We start from the raw sequence: 18,003 nt of genomic DNA, 5'->3' as shown, positions 1-18,003 counted from the left end.
AGACCCTCCTTACCCTGCTGCTCCCCAGGGCTGGCTTTCAGGAGCCTCTGGGAAGTCAGCAAATGGAAACCTGGGGAGGAGGGACTGGGGAGTCAGTGGGTGGGGAGGGCAAGCAGGGTCGGGGGAGATGTGAAGAGTGCCATCCCCCTGCCCCAGGATGGAGAGGTGTACTGCATAGATGCCCGTTACTATGGCAACATCAGCCGCTTCATCAACCACCTGTGTGACCCCAACATCATTCCCGTCCGGGTCTTCATGCTGCACCAAGACCTGCGATTTCCACGCATCGCCTTCTTCAGTTCCCGAGACATCCGGACTGGGGAGGAGCTAGGGTGAGACTCTAGGGGTCTCTAGGGGCTCTGCCAGGGGGTGGGAGATGCAGCAAACCTGGGACCTGAAGGCTGGCATGTACCTGGTGTCCAGGCATGGAGTAGTGCAGAGCTTCTCAGATTTCAGTGTACATAAGTATTTCCTGGAGGACTTGGGGAAACAGTCCTGTGCCTCCCAGAGAGATTTTGAATCAGTAGGCTTGGGATGGGGCCCAGGATTCTGCATTTCTAAAAAGTCCCCAGGCAATGCTGATGCTGAAAGTCCATAGAACATACAAGGGGCTCAGATCCCATCTGGAGAAGATAGGTTGGGTGTCGGGTCCCTCTCAGGGAGCAGGATCCACAGGGTCTTCGGGGTGGGCTCTTGGTGGCTGGGTCCAGGTCCCACAAGCTCCTGTTTTCCTCTGACAGGTTTGACTATGGCGACCGCTTCTGGGACATCAAAAGCAAATATTTCACCTGCCAATGTGGCTCTGAGAAGTGCAAGCACTCAGCCGAAGCCATTGCCCTGGAGCAGAGCCGTCTGGCCCGCCTGGACCCACACCCTGAGCTGCTGCCCGAGCTCGGCTCCCTGCCCCCTGTCAACACATGAGAACGGACCACACCCTCTCTCCCCAGCATGGATGGCCACAGCTCAGCCGCCTCCTCTGCCACCAGCTGCTCGCAGCCCATGCCTGGGGGTGCTGCCATCTTCTCTCCCCACCACCCTTTCACACATTCCTGACCAGAGATCCCAGCCAGGCCCTGGAGGTCTGACAGCCCCTCCCTCCCAGAGCTGGTTCCTCCCTGGGAGGGCAACTTCAGGGCTGGCCACCCCCCGTGTTCCCCATCCTCAGTTGAAGTTTGATGAATTGAAGTCGGGCCTCTATGCCAACTGGTTCCTTTTGTTCTCAATAAATGTTGGGTTTGGTAATAAACTGCGATTTTTGTGTTGGGGTGGGGAGAAAGCATACTTGGCTAGAGGGAATGTGGGTCCAAGGGCCAGAATAGGATGGGAAGCAGGCTGGACAGGTGTGGCTGGTGTGATGGCCGCCCAGTGCGGGGCAGGGAGGTGGGGGGCCACTATGAAGATCCAGTTTCACAGGCACGGTGGCTGACACCTATAATCCCAGCACTTTGGGAGGCCAAGGCAGGCGAATCACCTGAGATCAGGAGTTCAAGACCAGCCTGGCCAACTTGGTGAAACCCCATCTTTCAAAATAGAAAAAATTTGCTGGGCGTGGTGGCAGGCACCTGTAATCCTGGCTACTCCAGAGACTGAGGCAGGAGAACCGCTTGAAGCCAGGAGGCGGAGGTTGCAGTGAGCCAAGATTGAGTCACTGCACACCAGCCTGGGCAACAAGAGCGAAACTCCATCTCAAAAAGGAAAAAACAGGTCCAATTTCCACACTTTAATCTTTGGCGGGAGCGTGTTGGGAGTGTACGGCAGTTAAGGTAGTTGGCGAGATTATAAAGCGTTTTCTTATCAGAGCATGCCAGGTCGTTCACTGTGGTCCGTAGTGCCCCCAGGAAATAGCCCTGAGCCCCCGTCCCAGGCTCCAGCTCCCCAGCCCGCTGGGCACAAAGTTGAGAAGAAGGAACTAGAGTGTGTCGGGGACCACAGGCGGGGGTGGGGCTGTGACGTGTGGGAGGGCGGGGCGGGCAGCAGGTGAGACGCCAGGTCTCCAGGGCTCCAATCACTCCGGAGACTGAGCCATGGGGGGAAAGCAGCGGGACGAGGATGACGAGGCCTACGGTGAGACTGGGGCGAGGCCCGGGACCCTGTGGAGGGAGGGGAGGACGGGTACTTTGGGAATGGTGTCTGGGGCTGGCTCCAGGGAGAGGAACTAAGGAGAGTACTGTGTCCCTGAGGGGAGGGCCCGGGAACCGGGAGCCATGGAGGGAGGGAGTCAGGGTCCTGGGAGGAGGATGGGGCCCGGGGGCTGGGGCTGTTGCTGGGGAGCCCATGGGGAGTGAAGCTGGGTGCCTCTGAAGAGTTGGGGCTGAGGTCCTTGGGAGGAGGGGGGTATTTCAGGCCTGGACTCTGGGTCCCTAAGGGCAGGGCCCTAGGAAACAAAGCCGAGATGGAAGGTGGCAGGTTGGGGCCCTGAGCAGAATAGGGCTGGATGCTGGGAGTGTCCTGTGCTGCAGAGCCTGCAACCAGTGAGGCCAGGGTCCCTGTAAGGAGGAGGAGGTTCAGCCTGGAGTCTGGGTCTCTGAGGGCGAAAGCTGCTTGTGGTCTGCCGGCTCCCTTGAGGAGTGAGGGGACCCTGAGTGGGCTGGCCTCTGCCTGCCAGGGTCTCTGGGAGAAGTGGCAGAGGGAGTGGGTTCTGCTGGGGGTCCCTGTGAGGAGTTGGGGCTGAGGGTCTTTGTGGAAAGGGGGCTGGGGTCCTGCCTAGGGGTCTCTGTGAGGAGCTAGGAGCAGGAGCTGGTCTTGGGGTACTCTGAGGAATAGGGACAGGGCCCCTGGGGTTCCTGTGAAGGGTGAAGCCTGAGGGGAGAAACAGCAGGGAGCCTGTTTCCAGAATCTGCAAGGAAAAGGGGCTGGGGTTCTGAGGAGAGAGGGAGCTGGGGACTGGCCTCCAGATCCCCACGAGCAGTGAAGGCTGGGGACTCACCTGCGGAGGCCCCCCTGGTCTTCTGGTCTGAAGGGGAAGGAACCCCTATGAGGGACCTTCTCGAGGAGAGGCTTGAGTCCCTTAGGGCCATAGGGGAGCAGGCAGTGAGGACTCCCGAGTAGACTTCCTGGAGCGGCTTCAGGTCAATCATTGTCCATGAGCCATGGAGGGACAGAGTCCAGCGCACCTGGGGAAAGTGGACCCCACCCGCTCCTTCCCAGACTCCTGCCCAGCCCTCGGCTCTCCCTCCTCAGTGCCCACAAGGAACCCTGACTGCCCAGCCCTCCTCCTCCCTGTGTGTGTACTCAGGGAGGACCAGGAACTCAACGTGCCTGCAATCTCTATGGCTGGGCTCAGGTGTCACTCTGACTGCTGGCCCAGAGCCCGGAGCACACTGTGGCCAGGGGACTGAGGTCCCACCAGAGTGAGGATGTACAGGGCCGCTTCCCTCCCCAGGCCCTGCTGGGGTTGACACCTTTGTCTCCAGTTTCTTTCCCCATAGCCTTGAACCAGAGGGTAAGGTAGGGCCTGGGGCAGATAGGGGAAGAGGCCATGACCTCCCTGAGGGGCTGTGGGTCTGTGTGGTCCCTGGGGAGGGATTAGGGAGGAGGCAGGGATGAGAATGAGGGAGTGAGAGCCACTGGGAGTCCCACATCCCAGCTAAAGGGAGACTCAGGAGAACCGTGCCAGGGTAGGGCAGGGGACCAAGGCCATTTCCCAGACTGACTGCCTTGAGATGTGAGCCGGAAACTATAAAGGCCTTCCTTCCCCTCCCCATGGCAGCCTGGGTGGAGCTCCCAGGGAGCTGCTGAGCTGCTGACCAGGCCTGGATCCTACCTTTCCTGCTCCCCAGTTTTCCCCTCCTGCCAGTCCTGCCCTAGCCCATCTCCCTCCAAACACCTGAGGCCTGGGTAGGATCCTGGGGCTAGGAGGACTCAGCAGGACAAGATATGCAGAGAGAGACTCATCCTCCACACCTCTTCTCATGTCCCTCAGGGAAGCCAGTCAAATACGACCCCTCCTTTCGAGGCCCCATCAAGAACAGGTGAGCTCTGGGCACTGCTCCGGGGGCTGGCGGGGGTGGTGGGTGCAGTGTGGAATCCAGTATTTGCTTTGTATTTGCTAAAATATTAGTAGGAAACTTGTGAAAAAGAGAAACTCCTGCCCCAGATGGGTGGTGCCCTGGGGGGATTGTTGTGTCTGGAGCAGGCATCGAGGGCTTCCCAGTTCTGGGGGGATGTTCTGTTTCTTGACTTAAGTGCCGGCTTCACAAGCGAGAGAACTCACCCAGCTGAGCCCTTGCGAGTTGTGTGCTTTTCTGTCTTTTACTTCAGAAGAAAGTTTACCCACCCAGAAAAAGGTTTTCTTTCTTTTTGTGTTTTGGAGATGGGGGTTCACTGCAGGCTCGAACTCCTGTGCTCAAGTGATCCTCCTGCCCTAGCCTTCCGAGTAGCTGGGACTACAGGCATGCACCATCACACCAGGCTAATTTCTTTGAGATGGGATCTCACTATGTTGCCCAGGCTGGTCTCAAACTCCTGGCCTCAAGGGATTGCCCTGCCTCAGCCTCCCAAGTAGCTAGTATTACAGTCGTGAGCCACTGTGCCTGGCTAGGTTTTCTAAATAAAATATTTAAAAAAAATTAGCCGGGCAGTAGTGGCACGCGCCTGTAATCCCAGCTACTCGGGAGGCTAAGGCAGGAGAATTGCTTGAACCCAGGAGGCAGAGGCTGCAGTGAGCCAAGATTGCACCACTGCACTCCAGTCTGTGTGACAGAGTGAGACCCTGTCTCAAAATAAAAAAGTAAAAGCAATAAAAAAATAAAAATAAAGCCTACTGATGCCCATGCTGCAGCATCACCCAACTCTCTAACCCTTAACCCCTCCAGACCATAAGCCCTACCTCCCCAAGTCTCCTTAGCTCAGCCTCCCGTTTCGTTTCTCTCTCAGAAGCTGCACAGATGTCATCTGCTGCGTCCTCTTCCTGCTCTTCATTCTAGGTTACATCGTGGTGGGGATTGTGGGTGAGTTTCCAGCTGCTCAGAGCCAGGGCAGTGGGTGAGGGACAGGAACCCAGGGAGGGACCATTCCCATAACTGCCCCACTAAGTCCCTGCCCTCCAATGACTCATCTGTGCCTCTGTCTGCAGCCTGGTTGTATGGAGACCCCCGGCAAGTCCTCTACCCCAGGAACTCTACTGGGGCCTACTGTGGCATGGGGGAGAACAAGTGAGTACAAAGGCGAGAAGAGGAGTGCAGGAGCGAGGCGAGGTAGGGTGGGCAGGAGACACCCCCCCAACTCAGGCTCCAGACCTGTCCGTGCTCTTCCACAGCCTTTCCCTGCTGTCCCCACCCCACCTCAGCCTCCCTGAATCTGACAACTCCAGGCCACGTTAAGAACCATTGCTGGACAGTTAGCTTCTTGAGTCCCCCCAGAAATGGGAGGCAGTGGAGAGTCGTGTTAAGTGTATGAGTTTTACAGTTCAGAGATTGGTGTTTGGATCCCCAACTGGACCAAGTTTTGGTTGTGTGGCCTTGGACAAGTTACTCAAGCTCTCTGAGCTTTGATTTCCTTATTTGAAATTCAAGGGGAATTCCAGAAGCAATGCCAACAGTCCTCACATACAGATGTCCAATAAATAATAAAACCTCAAATATTTATATAGCATTTACTATGTTCCAGGCAGGCAGTAAACTTTACACACACAAGCGCATTGAAATCTCATGAGGTAGGCACTACTGTTTTATATGGAGTAGAACTAAGACCGAGAACAGGTGACTTGCTCAAGATCATAAAGATGATATGAAGTTGTGGAGCTCCAAGTTCATGCTCTGAGCTATTTGTCAGCTGCTGCAATGGTGACTTACTCTGAGAGATCTTCTAGGCATCTCCCTACCTCCCCAGCTGAGCTAGGGCCAGGAGCTGGGAGGTGACTGGTATGGGCCACGCTGGGCTGGGCCCACTGTATTCTTGAGAAGCCACCCTAGTGGTCCCTCCCCTCCCCCAACACCTGACCAGGCCCTGATGCACATGGTCCCTCCCCTCCCACAGAGATAAGCCGTATCTCCTGTACTTCAACATCTTCAGCTGCATCCTGTCCAGCAACATCATCTCAGTTGCTGAGAACGGCCTACAGTGCCCCACACCCCAGGTCAGAGCCTGGGACCTGCCTCTACCCCAGATCTCACCCAGGGTCTCAGGTTCCAGCCCCTTAGTGTTCTCTCTGCACCCAGGTGTGTGTGTCCTCCTGCCCGGAGGACCCATGGACTGTGGGAAAAAACGAGTTCTCACAGACTGTTGGGGAAGTCTTCTATACAAAAAACAGGAACTTTTGTCTGCCAGGGGTACCCTGGAATATGGTGAATATTGCCCCTAACCTCATCACTGTCGCCCAGAAGGGCCAGGGTGGGCACGAGAGGGAGGGGGAGTTGGGTAGATCATCACCAGGTTGGCTCTCCTGGGGAGTGTGGGACAGGCTGAGCCCCATGGTGGTGGTGAGGGGACCTGCTTCTTCATCCTGCTCTGTGTCTGTGTGTCTGTCCTTTCACTCCTGCCACAGACGGTGATCACAAGCCTGCAACAGGAACTCTGCCCCAGTTTCCTCCTCCCCTCTGCTCCAGGTGAGAAGCACAGATTCCTTCCTCAGACGTCATCTAGTCCAGTGTTTTCATTGCTTGAATGAAGAAATCAGGCCCAGAGAGAGTGAAGTCACATAGCTTGTTGGTGGCAAAATTGGAATTAGCATCAGGTCTTCATTTTGCTCTTTGTTATGTGGCCTTGCAGTCAGACCATCAGTGTTTTGGGGACCTACTATGTGCCAGGTGCTGGGGACAGAGGCAGGGATAACAACTGCTCCCTGCTTCAGCTACATTCTAGGTGAAGAGATTAGAGTTGTTCACAAAGAGACTGTATGAAAATCTCATGAAAACATACATGGGTGAATCTACACACACATTTTTTTTTTTTTGACGGAGTCTTCCTCTGTTGCCCAGGCTGGAGTGCAGTGGCGTGATCTCGGCTCACTGCAACCCCCGCCTCCCGGGTTCAAGCGCTTCTCTGCTTCAGCCTCCCGAGTAGCTGGAATTACAGCACATGGTGCCCGCCACCACGCCCGGCTAATTTTTATTTTTATTTTATTTATTAAATTTATTTATTAAATTTGTATTTTTAGTAGAGACGGGGTTTCACTATCTTGGCCAAGCTGGTCTTGAACTCCTAACTTCGTGATCCACCCACCTTGGCCTCCCAAAGTGCTGGGATTACAGACATGAGCCACCACGCCCAGCCTGCACACATATCATTTTTATATATGCACAGGGAAAAGGCTAGAAGGATATTTGTTCAAATGTTATAAGTGAACGTGGCTGGGTGGTAGGATCACAGTTGAACTTTTTTTCTTTTACAGTGTGCTCTTCCTTCCAGTAGCAAATGTCTTTTTTTTTTTTTAAGAGATGAAGTCTTGCTATGTTGCCCAGGCTGGTCTTGAACTCCTCGATTCAAGCAATCTTCCCACCTCAGCCTCTCAAAGTGCTGGGATTACAGACATGAGCCCCGACACCCAGTTGCAAATGTCATTTTTAATATAAAACAATTTTTAGGCCAGGCATGGTGGCTCATGCTTGTAATCCTAGCACTTTGGGAGGCTGAGGCAGGCAGATCACCTGAGATCAGGAGTTCGAGACCAGCCTGGCCAACATGGCGAAACCCTATCTCTACTAAAAATACAAAACTTAGCTGGGCGTGGTGGCATGCACCTCTTATCCCAGCTACTCAGGAGGCTGAGGCAGGAGAATTGCTTGAACCCGGGTGGCAGAGGTTGCAGTGAGCTTTGCAGTGAGCCAAGATCGTGCCACTGTACTCTAGCCTTGCTGACAGAGCGAGACTCCGTCTCAAACAAAAATTTTAGGCCGGGAGCAGTGGCTCACACCTGTAATCCCAGCACTTTGGGAGGCCGAGGCGGGCGGATCACAAGGTCAGGAGTTCGAGACTAGTCTGGCCAACATGGTGAAACCCCGTCTCTACTAAAAATACAAAAATTAGCCAGGTGTGGTGGTGGGCACCTGAAATCCCAGCTACTCGGGAGGCTGAAGTAGGAGAATTGCTTGAGCCCAGAGGCGGAGTTTACGGTGAGCCGAGATGGTGCCACTGCACTCCAGCCTGGGCAACAGTGAGACTCCATCTCAAAAAAAAAAAATTAGACAATTTATAGCATAAGATGAGATATCCAGTTATCAATTTAAGTACAGTAAGGAGTATCTCAAGTGAATACTTCAAAGTCAAGTAGATCTGAATATAAATTCTAGCACTTTCCAGCCCTATGGTCTTGACCCAACTATGCAACCTCTCTGAACCTTGTTTCCTCATCTTTAGAATGTAAATGACAGTGAGGTGCAGTGGCTCATGCCTGTAGTCCCAACTGCTCAGGAGGCTAAGGCGGGAGGATCACTTGAGTCCTGGAGTTGGAGGTTACAGTGAGCTATGATTGTGCCACTGCACTCCAGCCTGGGCAATAGAGTGAGAAACCCTGCCTCTAAAAAATAAATAAGCTAGGTGAGGTGACTCACACCTGTAATCCCAACACTTTGGGGGGCTGAGGTGGGAGGATTGCTTGAGCCCAGGAGTTTGAGGCCAGCCTGGGCAACACAGCAAAACCCCATCTGTACAAAAAATTTAAAAATTAGCCAAGTGTGGTGGTGCACATCTATAGTCCCAGTTGCTTGGGAGGCTAAGTGGGGAGGATCGCTTGAGCCCAGAAGTTCAATGTTGCAGTAAGCTATGATCATGCAGCTGCACTCTAGCCTGGGTGACAGAGCAAGACCTTGACTCAAAAATAAGAAAATAAATAAATAAATAGATAAATAAATGACAAAGCAAGGCTGCCTGGCAAAGTTGTTGCAAGGATGGCAGTAAGTGGCTCTGTAGGCACATAACAGTTGCCAAAGGAGGTGGGGATAAGGTCAGAAGGCTTCCTGGAGGAGGTGAGATGGAGCTGGATTTGAACAGGGAGTCATGGATGGGATTTCTGGTGGAAAGAGAGCCCTGAGAGAGAGGCACAGTAAGAGCAAAGGTACAGAGTAGAAGGGAACATGGGCTGGATTTGCACAGGAGAGCCTGGAAGCCTGGCCAGGGAGTGTGGATGCTGTCTCTGGGGCAGAGCCTCTGGAGATGTCTGAGTCACAAAGGGACCCAGAACCCTGGAGTGATGAAGTCCAGGCAGTGCCACGGTCTCCCTGGCACTCCACTCGGGTGGAGGGTGGATGGAAGGGTGACAGGGTGTTCTAAGAGTTGAGGCCAGCGGAGAGGAGGGTCCAAACCAAGGCACGACAGGGAGGGGAGGCAGGGGATAGACTGGGCTCCACAGGGCAGAAGCCCATTTGTGAAATCAAAAGCAGCCCACTGAGGGATGCAAGGCCCATCACCCTTCCCTCCCCTAAGGGCACTGTGGACTGGGAGGGGGCCAGAGACCCTCCAGGCAGAGCTCCTGGCCCCCAACCCAGCAGCCCGGCTCTCCCTTCCAGCTCTGGGGCGCTGCTTTCCATGGACCAACGTTACTCCACCGGCGCTCCCAGGGATCACCAATGACACCACCATACAGCAGGGGATCAGGTAGGCACCTCCCTCCCCCACATCCTGGCCACACCCCTTCCACCCACAGCCCCATCTGACTCTGTCTCCCCAACAGCGGTCTTATTGACAGCCTCAATGCCCGAGACATCAGTGTTAAGATCTTTGAAGATTTTGCCCAGTCCTGGTATTGGATTCTTGTGTGAGTCACCAGATTCCCCTCCTCTTGTGTCCTTGCCTTCTTCCTCCCTGATCCTCTACCCCCTCGCCCAATGTCTGAAACACAGGCTTTGGACAGAGGAGGAGGAGCCAGAGCTCCGAATGGATTCCAAGACCAACAGGATTTATAAGGGAAAGAGGCCTAATCTGGGGACATTGGGTGGTGTGTGGAAAGGCAGGGAGGGCCTCTGTAAGGGGAAAGATTTGAGGGGCTAGGGCTGAACCTCACTGTCCTCACCCTGCCTACAGTGCCCTGGGGGTGGCTCTGGTCTTGAGCCTACTGTTTATCTTGCTTCTGCGCCTGGTGGCTGGGCCCCTGGTGCTGGTGCTGATCCTGGGAGTGCTGGGCGTGCTGGCATACGGCATCTACTACTGCTGGGAGGAGTACCGAGTGCTGCGGGACAAGGGCGCCTCCATCTCCCAGCTGGGTTTCACCACCAACCTCAGTGCCTACCAGAGCGTGCAGGAGACCTGGCTGGCCGCCCGTGAGTGTCCTGCCCACCCCCAAGCCACCAGCTGCCCAAGGACCGCCCTGGGCCATGCCCGGCCCCAGCCCTGGCCCTGACCTAGGTCTGTCTGCCCCGTCCTCTGCAGTGATCGTGTTGGCGGTGCTTGAAGCCATCCTGCTGCTGATGCTCATCTTCCTGCGGCAGCGGATTCGTATTGCCATCGCCCTCCTGAAGGAGGCCAGCAAGTTAGGGCCTGCCTGGGAGGGAGATGGGGTTGAGGACAGCGTGGACCCAGGAGTGCTAGGGGACCTAGGGGGTGCTAGAGAGGTGGCAGGGAGCCTCAGAGGAGAAGGGAGGAATATAGCACAGTGGTGAACACTGCTGTGGCTTTGCTTCCCCATCTGTAAAATGGGGGTAACAATAATTCCTGCCTTCTAGGGTTGTCTTGAGGATTCAATGAGTGCCTGGAATATGACATAGGCCTTCTAGAGGGGTTGGTGGGAGTGGTGGTGGCTGAGTGGAACGGCAGGAATCCGGGCCAGGAGGGGCAGCAGCTTGCTCCCGATCAGGAACTGCCACACACACCTGCCAAGGGATCACGCTTGGGGGTGATCTTCCCTTACTCCACCCGAAGCTGCCCCAGGTGGCTTCTCTGTGACCCCAGTTTCCTCTAAGGGTCCTGTGAGCCTGATTTATTCAGTTCTGTTTATCCAGTGAGCACCTACAGTATGCCTAGCCCTGCACCAGGCCCTGAGGACACAGATATGAAAGACAATGTCACTAACCCTGTTGGTCCCACCCTGGGGGAGTGGGGCAGGCCCCAGTGAGGGCAGAGGGGTCAGCCCCCCCCTTTTTTTTTTTTTGAGACGGAGTCTCGCTCTGTCGACCAGGCTGGAGTGCAGTGGTGCGATGTCAGCTCACTGCAAACTCCGCCTCCCGGGTTCACGCCATTCTCCTGCCTCAGCCTCCGGAGTAGCTGGCACTACAGGCGCCCGCCACCATGCCCGGCTAATTTTTTGTATTTTTAGTAGAGATGGGGTTTCACCGTGTTAGCCAGCATGGTCTCGATCTCCTGACCTCGTGATCCGCCCGCCTCAGCCTCCCAAAGTGCTGGGATTACAGGCGTGAGCCACTGCGCCCGGCCGGGGTCAGCCCCTTGAGAAGATGGACAGCTGGGGCGGTGCCGGTTAACAGCTTTGTCTCCCTGCAGGGCTGTGGGACAGATGATGTCTACCATGTTCTACCCACTGGTCACCTTTGTCCTCCTCCTCATCTGCATTGCCTACTGGGCCATGACTGCTCTGTATCCTCTGCCCACGCAGCCAGCCACTCTTGGAGTCCTGGGGGGTGATGGAAAACAAAGCAATACTTGCCCTGTAGAGTGCCTTGGTGTCACTGGAAGAGGTGCCCCTTTCTCTGGGCAGACACACCAGCACTGTGCCTGAACAGAGTTGAAAGGGTGCACACAGGCTGAATTTCAGCCCTCTCTGTGCAGCAAACGATCTGCACAAGCACCTAGGAACAGGTCCCTAAGGAGCGAGTGACCTGTGGAGACCTCGTGTGATCATGCTTTCCTTGACTCCCCTCTGGGTACCTGGCTACATCGGGGCAACCCCAGTATGTGCTCTGGGCATCCAACATCAGCTCCCCCGGCTGTGAGAAAGTGCCAATAAATACATCATGCAACCCCACGGTAAGAGGAAGCAGGGGACATGGAGGCGGGACTAGTAGGGGTGAGGGGCTGTAGGGGCCACATTCCTCATTGTGCAGAGAAGACTGAGGCCACAGAGGGCAAGAAACTTGTGCAAGGTCACACACTCAACCCCCAGCAGAGCTAGAAGAAACCAGTTCCCAGAATACCTGGTACTCCTGTTGAGCCATCCATCATGTGGGGAGGGAAACTGAGGCTGGGAGAGACAGCCCTGGATACCAGGACTTACTCCACCCCTCCCCAGGACATTGCTCTGACTTGAGGACCATCAACCACTTCACCCTCTGAGTCTCAGCCTACTCCTGTTTGTTTGTTTGTTTGTTTGTTTGTTTGTTTGTTTTGAGACAGGGTCTTGCTCTGTTGCCCAGGCTGGAGTGCAGCAGTGCAATCTCAGCTCACTGCAACCTCCATCCCCCAGGCTCAAGCAATCTTCCCACCTCAGCCTCCTGAGCAGCTGGAACTACTAGCGTATGACACCACGCCAGGCTAATTTTAAGCTTTTTGTAGAGGCAAGGTCTTGCTGTGTTACCCGGGCTGGTCTTGAACTCCTGGGGTTGCCCCGATGTAGTCAGGTACCCAAGCAATCCTCTGGCTTAACCTCCCAAAGTACTGGGATTATAGGAGTGAGCCACCACATGCAGCTCCATTCCTCTGTAAAATGAGGATAATTATAATACCCATCCCTGGGGTGGCTGAGAAGATGAAATGACTTTGGGCACATAAAGTGCTTAGTACAATGCCTGGCACCTGATAAGAGCTCAACAACAGGTTGAATTGTATTATATTGTTAAGTCTTACTCCCTTGGAACACAGAGCCCTAGGTAGTAGCCAGGTGGGACTCCCTGCGGGGGACCCGAGAGAGAAGCTGCTTCCAAAATTCCCCTGTGAGGTTCCCCGGGAGTGGCGCTGGGCTGCTGGGAATTTACTCTTCTCAAACCTGTCATATCTTCACCTCGTCTGAGCTGGGAACATGAGCTGTGCTGCAGGCATTAGCCCCACCCCTATTAAAAAGGGGAGGTTTGGCAGGCGCGGTGGCTCATGCCTGTAATCCCAGCACTTAGGAGGCCGAGGTGGGCAGATCACCTGAGGTCAGGAGTTTGAGACCAGCCTGGCCAACATGACAAAAACCTGTCTCCACTAAAAGTACAAAAATTAGCCAGGCATGGTAGCAGGTGCCTGTAATCCCAGCTACTCAGGAGGCTGAGGCAGGAGAATTGCTTGAACTCGGGAGGCGGAGGTTGCAGTGAGCTGAGATCGCGCCATTGCACTGCAGCCTGGGCGGCGAGACTCCGTCTCAAAAAAAAAAAAAAAAGGTTTATTTACATGTACAGAGGACCCACTATGTGCCAGGCACTGGGTATACAAAGCCCAAAATGATGTGGTTCTTTTTCTTTTTCTTTTTTTTTTCTTTTTTAATGAAAAAAAGGCTGTTACACAGGCTGGAGTGCAGTGATGCGATCATGGCTCACTGAAGCCTTGATCTCCCAGGCTCAAGTGATCTTCTCACCTCAGTCTCCCAAGTAGCTGGGACTACAAACAAGTGCCACCATGCCCGGCTAATTTTTTTTTTTAAGAGATGGCGTTTCACTATGTTGCCCAGGCTGGTCTCAAACAAATGGGCTCAAGCAATTTGCCTGCTTCAGCCTCCAAAAGTGTTGGGATTATACACATGAGCAACTGTGCTGGGTATGACGTGAGTGTTGTTTTCAACTTGCTTGTGATCTAGCAGTAAAGACTGACAGAAGGCCGCGCGCAGTGGCTCACACCTGTAATCCCAGCACTTTGGGAGGCCGAGGCAGGTGAATCATGAGGTCCAGAGTTCGAGACCAACCTGGCCAATATGGTGACAGAGTGAGACTCCATCTCAAAAAAAAAAAAAAGATTTTTTGATTAGCCAGGCATGGTGGCACACACCTGCAGTCCCAGCTACTTGGGAGGTTGAAGCAGGAGGATTGCTTGAACACGGGAGGCAGAGGTTGCAGTGAGCTGAGATTGAGCCACTGTACTCCAGCCTGGGCAACAGAGCGAGACCCTGTGTCAAAAAAAAATTTTTTTGGTTATATTTGCTAGAAAGGGTTGCTTTTTAATTTGTGACTTTTTACTTTTTATTATGGGAATTTTTAAACATATGCAAAAGTAGAGATGATAGCACAGTGAGTTCCCTGTACCCAGATTCCACAACCCTCAACTTTTTGCTATTCTTATTTCATCTATATCCTCACCTATAATTTTTTTTTTTTTTGAGATGGAGTTTTGCTCTTGTCTCCCAGGCTGGAGTGCAGTGGCGCGATCTCGGCCCACTGCAACCTCTGCCTCCTGGGTTCAAGCAATTATCCTGCCTCAGCCTCCTGAATAGCTGGGATAATAGGCGTCTGCCACCACGCCCGGCTAATTTTTTGTATTTTCAGTAGAGATGGGATTTCACCATGTTGGCCAAGCTAGTCTTGAACTCCTGACCTCAGGCGATCCGCCCACCTCGGCCTCCCAAAGTGCTGAGATTACAGGCATAAGCCACCGCACCCGCCTCATAAATTTTTTTTTCTGGAGACTTTTAAGGCAAATTCTGGACATCATGCCATTTCACCTGTACATGCATCGAGATGGATCTCAACAGATAAGAACTGTTTAAAAGCATAGCCACTATATCATTATCACATCTCACAAAATTAACAATAATTCCTTAATATCATCAAATACCCAGCCTGTTCAATTTGCCGGAAAGGGTTTTGGTAGACGTTGCAGAGGCTGCTCTGGAATGGGAATGCTGAGTGAGTGCCTTCCCCTCTGATTGAGACTGAGGGAGCTGATTATGCTTATGCTATAGGCAGACCAAACTGAGTTTGAGCCTGGAGATGGAACTCTCCGACAGAACTTGATTCCCGCAGTCCAGAGAAGCTACTTCCCACCTGTCAACTCTGGGAGGGGCAGGAGCTACTGGGAATGGGACGCCCAGGCTCCATACTGAGGCCCCCGATGCCTGAGCCTACTCTATCCCCGTCTACCCTCCCAGGCCCACCTTGTGAACTCCTCGTGCCCAGGGCTGATGTGCGTCTTCCAGGGCTACTCATCCAAAGGCCTAATCCAACGTTCTGTCTTCAATCTGCAAATCTATGGGGTCCTGGGGCTCTTCTGGACCCTTAACTGGGTACTGGCCCTGGGCCAATGCGTCCTCGCTGGAGCCTTTGCCTCCTTCTACTGGGCCTTCCACAAGCCCCAGGACATCCCTACCTTCCCCTTAATCTCTGCCTTCATCCGCACACTCCGGTAAGGATGGGGCAGGGGCCTGGTCATTGTAGGCACGGGGGCCCCAGGGGTCCTGGAGCTGTCTCTGACTGCATAACACCCTCTGCAGTTACCACACTGGGTCATTGGCATTTGGAGCCCTCATCCTGACCCTTGTGCAGATAGCCCGGGTCATCTTGGAGTATATTGACCACAAGCTCAGAGGTGAGTCTGGAGTCGGAGTAGGAGTCAGGAGCTGGGGAAGGCCATTAGGGAGGGGCAGTGACCAAACATGAGCCTTCCTCGCTCCCAGGAGTGCAGAACCCTGTAGCCCGCTGCATCATGTGCTGTTTCAAGTGCTGCCTCTGGTGTCTGGAAAAATTTATCAAGTTCCTAAACCGCAATGCATACATCATGGTGAGCTACACTGCAAGCAACCCTTTGTTCTGGTGCCCTTTGGTCTAGACACCCCCATCCTGGTCCAGGCAGCTCGCCTTGGTAACTCTGACCTTTCCACCTCCCTCAGATCGCCATCTACGGGAAGAATTTCTGTGTCTCAGCCAAAAATGCGTTCATGCTACTCATGCGAAACATTGTCAGGTTAGGCTGCTCCCCCCCCGCTTTGTGGCTCCCTCCTCTGATCTCCCACCCAAGGCTGGCTTCGTGGGTGTGCTGTGCTCAGTCGGGCCCTAGACTTAGTTTAGTGCTCTGCTCTTGCCATCTTGAAACGTGAACAATTTTCATTTTGCACCAGTCCCCACAAATTACGAAGCCAATTTCACTCTCAGCATTGCCAGGCCTCTCACCCTCAACCTGCCCTAACTTCTGGCACAGGGTGGTCGTCCTGGACAAAGTCACAGACCTGCTGCTGTTCTTTGGGAAGCTGCTGGTGGTCGGAGGCGTGGGTAAGGGACCAGAAGCTGTGGGGACAGAGGGTAGGGGTGCTGGGCAGCTGAAGAGGTGGCCTCAGAGGTGCAGCACTAACCCCCAGAATTATTCCACAGGGGTCCTGTCCTTCTTTTTTTTCTCCGGTCGCATCCCGGGGCTGGGTAAAGACTTTAAGAGCCCCCACCTCAACTATTACTGGCTGCCCATCATGGTGAGTGACTCCCCTCTCTGCTGCTCCACCCCCAACTCCCCAGAGGAACCCAATAACCCCAACGGGTCATGTCTTCCAGACCTCCATCCTGGGGGCCTATGTCATCGCCAGCGGCTTCTTCAGCGTTTTCGGCATGTGTGTGGACACGCTCTTCCTCTGCTTCCGTGAGTGACACCCCCAGCCACCTGTCCCCAACCTTAAAGTACTGAGCCGTTCAAGCATTTTTTTTTTTTTTTGGAGATTTGGTGCTTCTAGAAACAATGCCTTTGTGAGCTAAACGAACCAGAGGGAGCTTCTTGTGACATCCTGAGGCCAGGCGTTTAGGGAAGAAGGAAGAGAGTGAGCCCCCAGGCCGGTAGGCTCTCCAAAGAAGGAGCATTCTGATGGAGAGGTCTCTGCTATCTTCCCTAAGAAATCTCGGGTAGAAGTTAGCCATTAGAGGCCAGGCATGGTGGCTCACGCCTGTCATGCCAGCACTTTGGGGGACCGAGGTGGGCAGATCACCCTGAGGTCAGGAGTTCGAGACCAGCCTGGCCCACATGGTGAAACCCCTCTCTACTAAAAATACAAAAAATTAGCTGGGCGCGGTGGCGGGCGCCTGTAATCCCAGCCACTTGGGAGGCTGAAGCAGGAGAATCGCTTGAACTCAGGAGGCGGAGGTTGCAGCGAGCCGAGATTGCGCTACTGCACTTCAGCTTGGGCGACAGCAAGACTCCGTCTCAAAACAAAGAAAAAAGATTAAAAAAAAAAAAGAGCCATTAGAGAGACTTCCCAGCAGGTGGCTGTAGCGGCAGGGGATTTTCTTACTCTACAGCATGCATCCATTCAGGGTTTGCCAGTCTCCTCCTAAGCGACTGACATGCATTTTTTCCGCTAATTCTTATCATCGCTCTATGCAACATAATATTCCCGACCCCACTTCACAGGAGGAAACTGAGATTACATAACCTGCCCGGGGGTAAGGGTGGTGGTGCAGCTTGGATTCCAAATCCCGCAGGCAGCTTGCCTCCCAGTCCCCGATTTCCTGGCCCCAGGGTCCGCTCTAACCGGTCTCTGTTGCGGCTCAGTGGAAGACCTGGAGCGGAACAACGGCTCCCTGGACCGGCCCTACTACATGTCCAAGAGCCTTCTAAAGATTCTGGGCAAGAAGAACGAGGCGCCCCCGGACAACAAGAAGAGGAAGAAGTGACAGCTCCGGCCCTGATCCAGGACTGCACCCCACCCCCACCGTCCAGCCATCCAACCTCACTTCGCCTTACAGGTCTCCATTTTGTGGTAAAAAAAGGTTTTAGGCCAGGCGCCGTGGCTCACGCCTGTAATCCAACACTTTGAGAGGCTGAGGCGGGCGGATCACCTGAGTCAGGAGTTCGAGACCAGCCTGGCCAACATGGTGAAACCTCCGTCTCTATTAAAAATACAAAAATTAGCCGAGAGTGGTGGCATGCACCTGTCATCCCAGCTACTCGGGAGGCTGAGGCAGGAGAATCGCTTGAACCCGGGAGGCAGAGGTTGCAGTGAGCCGAGATCGCGCCACTGCACTCCAACCTGGGTGACAGACTCTGTCTCCAAAACAAAACAAACAAACAAAAAGATTTTATTAAAGATATTTTGTTAACTCAGTAAATCTGTGACTCATTCTCTCCACGACGACAGGCGGCCTTTTTTTTTCCGCGCCCGGCTCTTTAAAATCGGCCCCGCCCCTGTGACGTGTCCTGGTGCCGCGGCCAATCAAAAAGCCCAATAAGGATGGTGCCAGTCCCTTCTTCACCCCAGCCAGTCCGCTTCCCGTTCGGGTCACGCGCTCCGGGCCTCCA

The 18,003-nt window shown here is 54.1% G+C and overlaps 2 protein-coding genes and 1 long non-coding RNA gene across 17 annotated transcripts in view, besides 4 other annotated features; 2 read left to right on the top strand and 1 right to left on the bottom strand.

The window, feature by feature from the left end:
• Positions 1 to 1,246, top strand: part of EHMT2 (euchromatic histone lysine methyltransferase 2) — a 17,940-nt gene extending 16,694 nt beyond the window's left edge. For all 13 annotated transcript variants that reach the window (NM_001395165.1, NM_025256.7, NM_001395163.1 and 10 more), the window contains 2 exons: positions 157 to 332; positions 741 to 1,246. In NM_001395165.1, the coding sequence (NP_001382094.1) occupies positions 157 to 332; positions 741 to 921 (357 nt within the window). In that variant the 3' untranslated portion in view covers positions 922 to 1,246. The remainder of the gene's footprint in view (positions 1 to 156; positions 333 to 740) is intronic.
• Positions 1 to 3,197, bottom strand: part of EHMT2-AS1 (EHMT2 and SLC44A4 antisense RNA 1) — a 6,397-nt gene extending 3,200 nt beyond the window's left edge. Inside the window, exons 1-2 of the long non-coding RNA NR_174947.1 lie at positions 2,927 to 3,197; positions 220 to 761 (exon numbers count right to left, since the gene is read on the bottom strand). This is a non-coding gene — a long non-coding RNA (EHMT2 and SLC44A4 antisense RNA 1). The remainder of the gene's footprint in view (positions 1 to 219; positions 762 to 2,926) is intronic.
• On the top strand, positions 2,008 to 17,813 carry SLC44A4 (solute carrier family 44 member 4). 3 transcript variants are annotated; one of them, NM_025257.3, is made up of 21 exons: positions 2,008 to 2,064; positions 3,923 to 3,971; positions 4,876 to 4,949; positions 5,075 to 5,153; positions 5,977 to 6,076; positions 6,159 to 6,284; positions 6,485 to 6,545; positions 9,444 to 9,531; positions 9,608 to 9,691; positions 9,958 to 10,193; positions 10,303 to 10,402; positions 11,368 to 11,460; positions 11,748 to 11,850; positions 14,879 to 15,132; positions 15,221 to 15,315; positions 15,404 to 15,507; positions 15,617 to 15,690; positions 15,925 to 15,995; positions 16,095 to 16,189; positions 16,269 to 16,353; positions 17,257 to 17,813. In NM_025257.3, the coding sequence occupies exons 1-21, from the start codon at positions 2,025 to 2,027 to the stop codon at positions 17,376 to 17,378; spliced, it is 2,133 nt and encodes a 710-aa protein (NP_079533.2). In that variant the 5' UTR covers positions 2,008 to 2,024; the 3' UTR covers positions 17,379 to 17,813. The 3 variants fall into 3 exon arrangements, with proteins under 3 accessions (NP_079533.2, NP_001171515.1, NP_001171516.1); NM_001178045.2 differs by lacking the exon at positions 2,008 to 2,064 and adding an exon at positions 3,334 to 3,442; NM_001178044.2 differs by lacking the exon at positions 6,159 to 6,284.
• Positions 9,794 to 10,727: an enhancer, noted in NCBI's record as "H3K27ac-H3K4me1 hESC enhancer chr6:31838055-31838988 (GRCh37/hg19 assembly coordinates)". NCBI's record gives its function as "activates a minimal SCP1, AML or CMV promoter by ChIP-STARR-seq in naive H9 embryonic stem cells {active_cell/tissue: H9 hESC(naive)}" and the evidence as "EXISTENCE:reporter gene assay evidence [ECO:0000049][PMID:30033119]".
• Positions 16,129 to 16,753: an enhancer, noted in NCBI's record as "H3K27ac-H3K4me1 hESC enhancer chr6:31832029-31832653 (GRCh37/hg19 assembly coordinates)". NCBI's record gives its function as "activates a minimal SCP1, AML or CMV promoter by ChIP-STARR-seq in primed H9 embryonic stem cells {active_cell/tissue: H9 hESC(primed)}" and the evidence as "EXISTENCE:reporter gene assay evidence [ECO:0000049][PMID:30033119]".
• Positions 16,754 to 17,377: an enhancer, noted in NCBI's record as "H3K27ac-H3K4me1 hESC enhancer chr6:31831405-31832028 (GRCh37/hg19 assembly coordinates)". NCBI's record gives its function as "activates a minimal SCP1, AML or CMV promoter by ChIP-STARR-seq in naive H9 embryonic stem cells {active_cell/tissue: H9 hESC(naive)}" and the evidence as "EXISTENCE:reporter gene assay evidence [ECO:0000049][PMID:30033119]".
• Positions 17,378 to 18,003: an enhancer, noted in NCBI's record as "H3K27ac hESC enhancer chr6:31830779-31831404 (GRCh37/hg19 assembly coordinates)". NCBI's record gives its function as "activates a minimal SCP1, AML or CMV promoter by ChIP-STARR-seq in naive H9 embryonic stem cells {active_cell/tissue: H9 hESC(naive)}" and the evidence as "EXISTENCE:reporter gene assay evidence [ECO:0000049][PMID:30033119]".

Source organism: Homo sapiens, chromosome 6 (assembly GCF_000001405.40).
Source record: "Homo sapiens chromosome 6, GRCh38.p14 Primary Assembly".
Classification (NCBI taxonomy): Eukaryota; Metazoa; Chordata; class Mammalia; order Primates; family Hominidae; genus Homo; species Homo sapiens.
The sequence above is the reverse complement of the archived record's forward strand: the minus strand, read 5'-3'. Positions and strand labels throughout refer to the sequence as shown.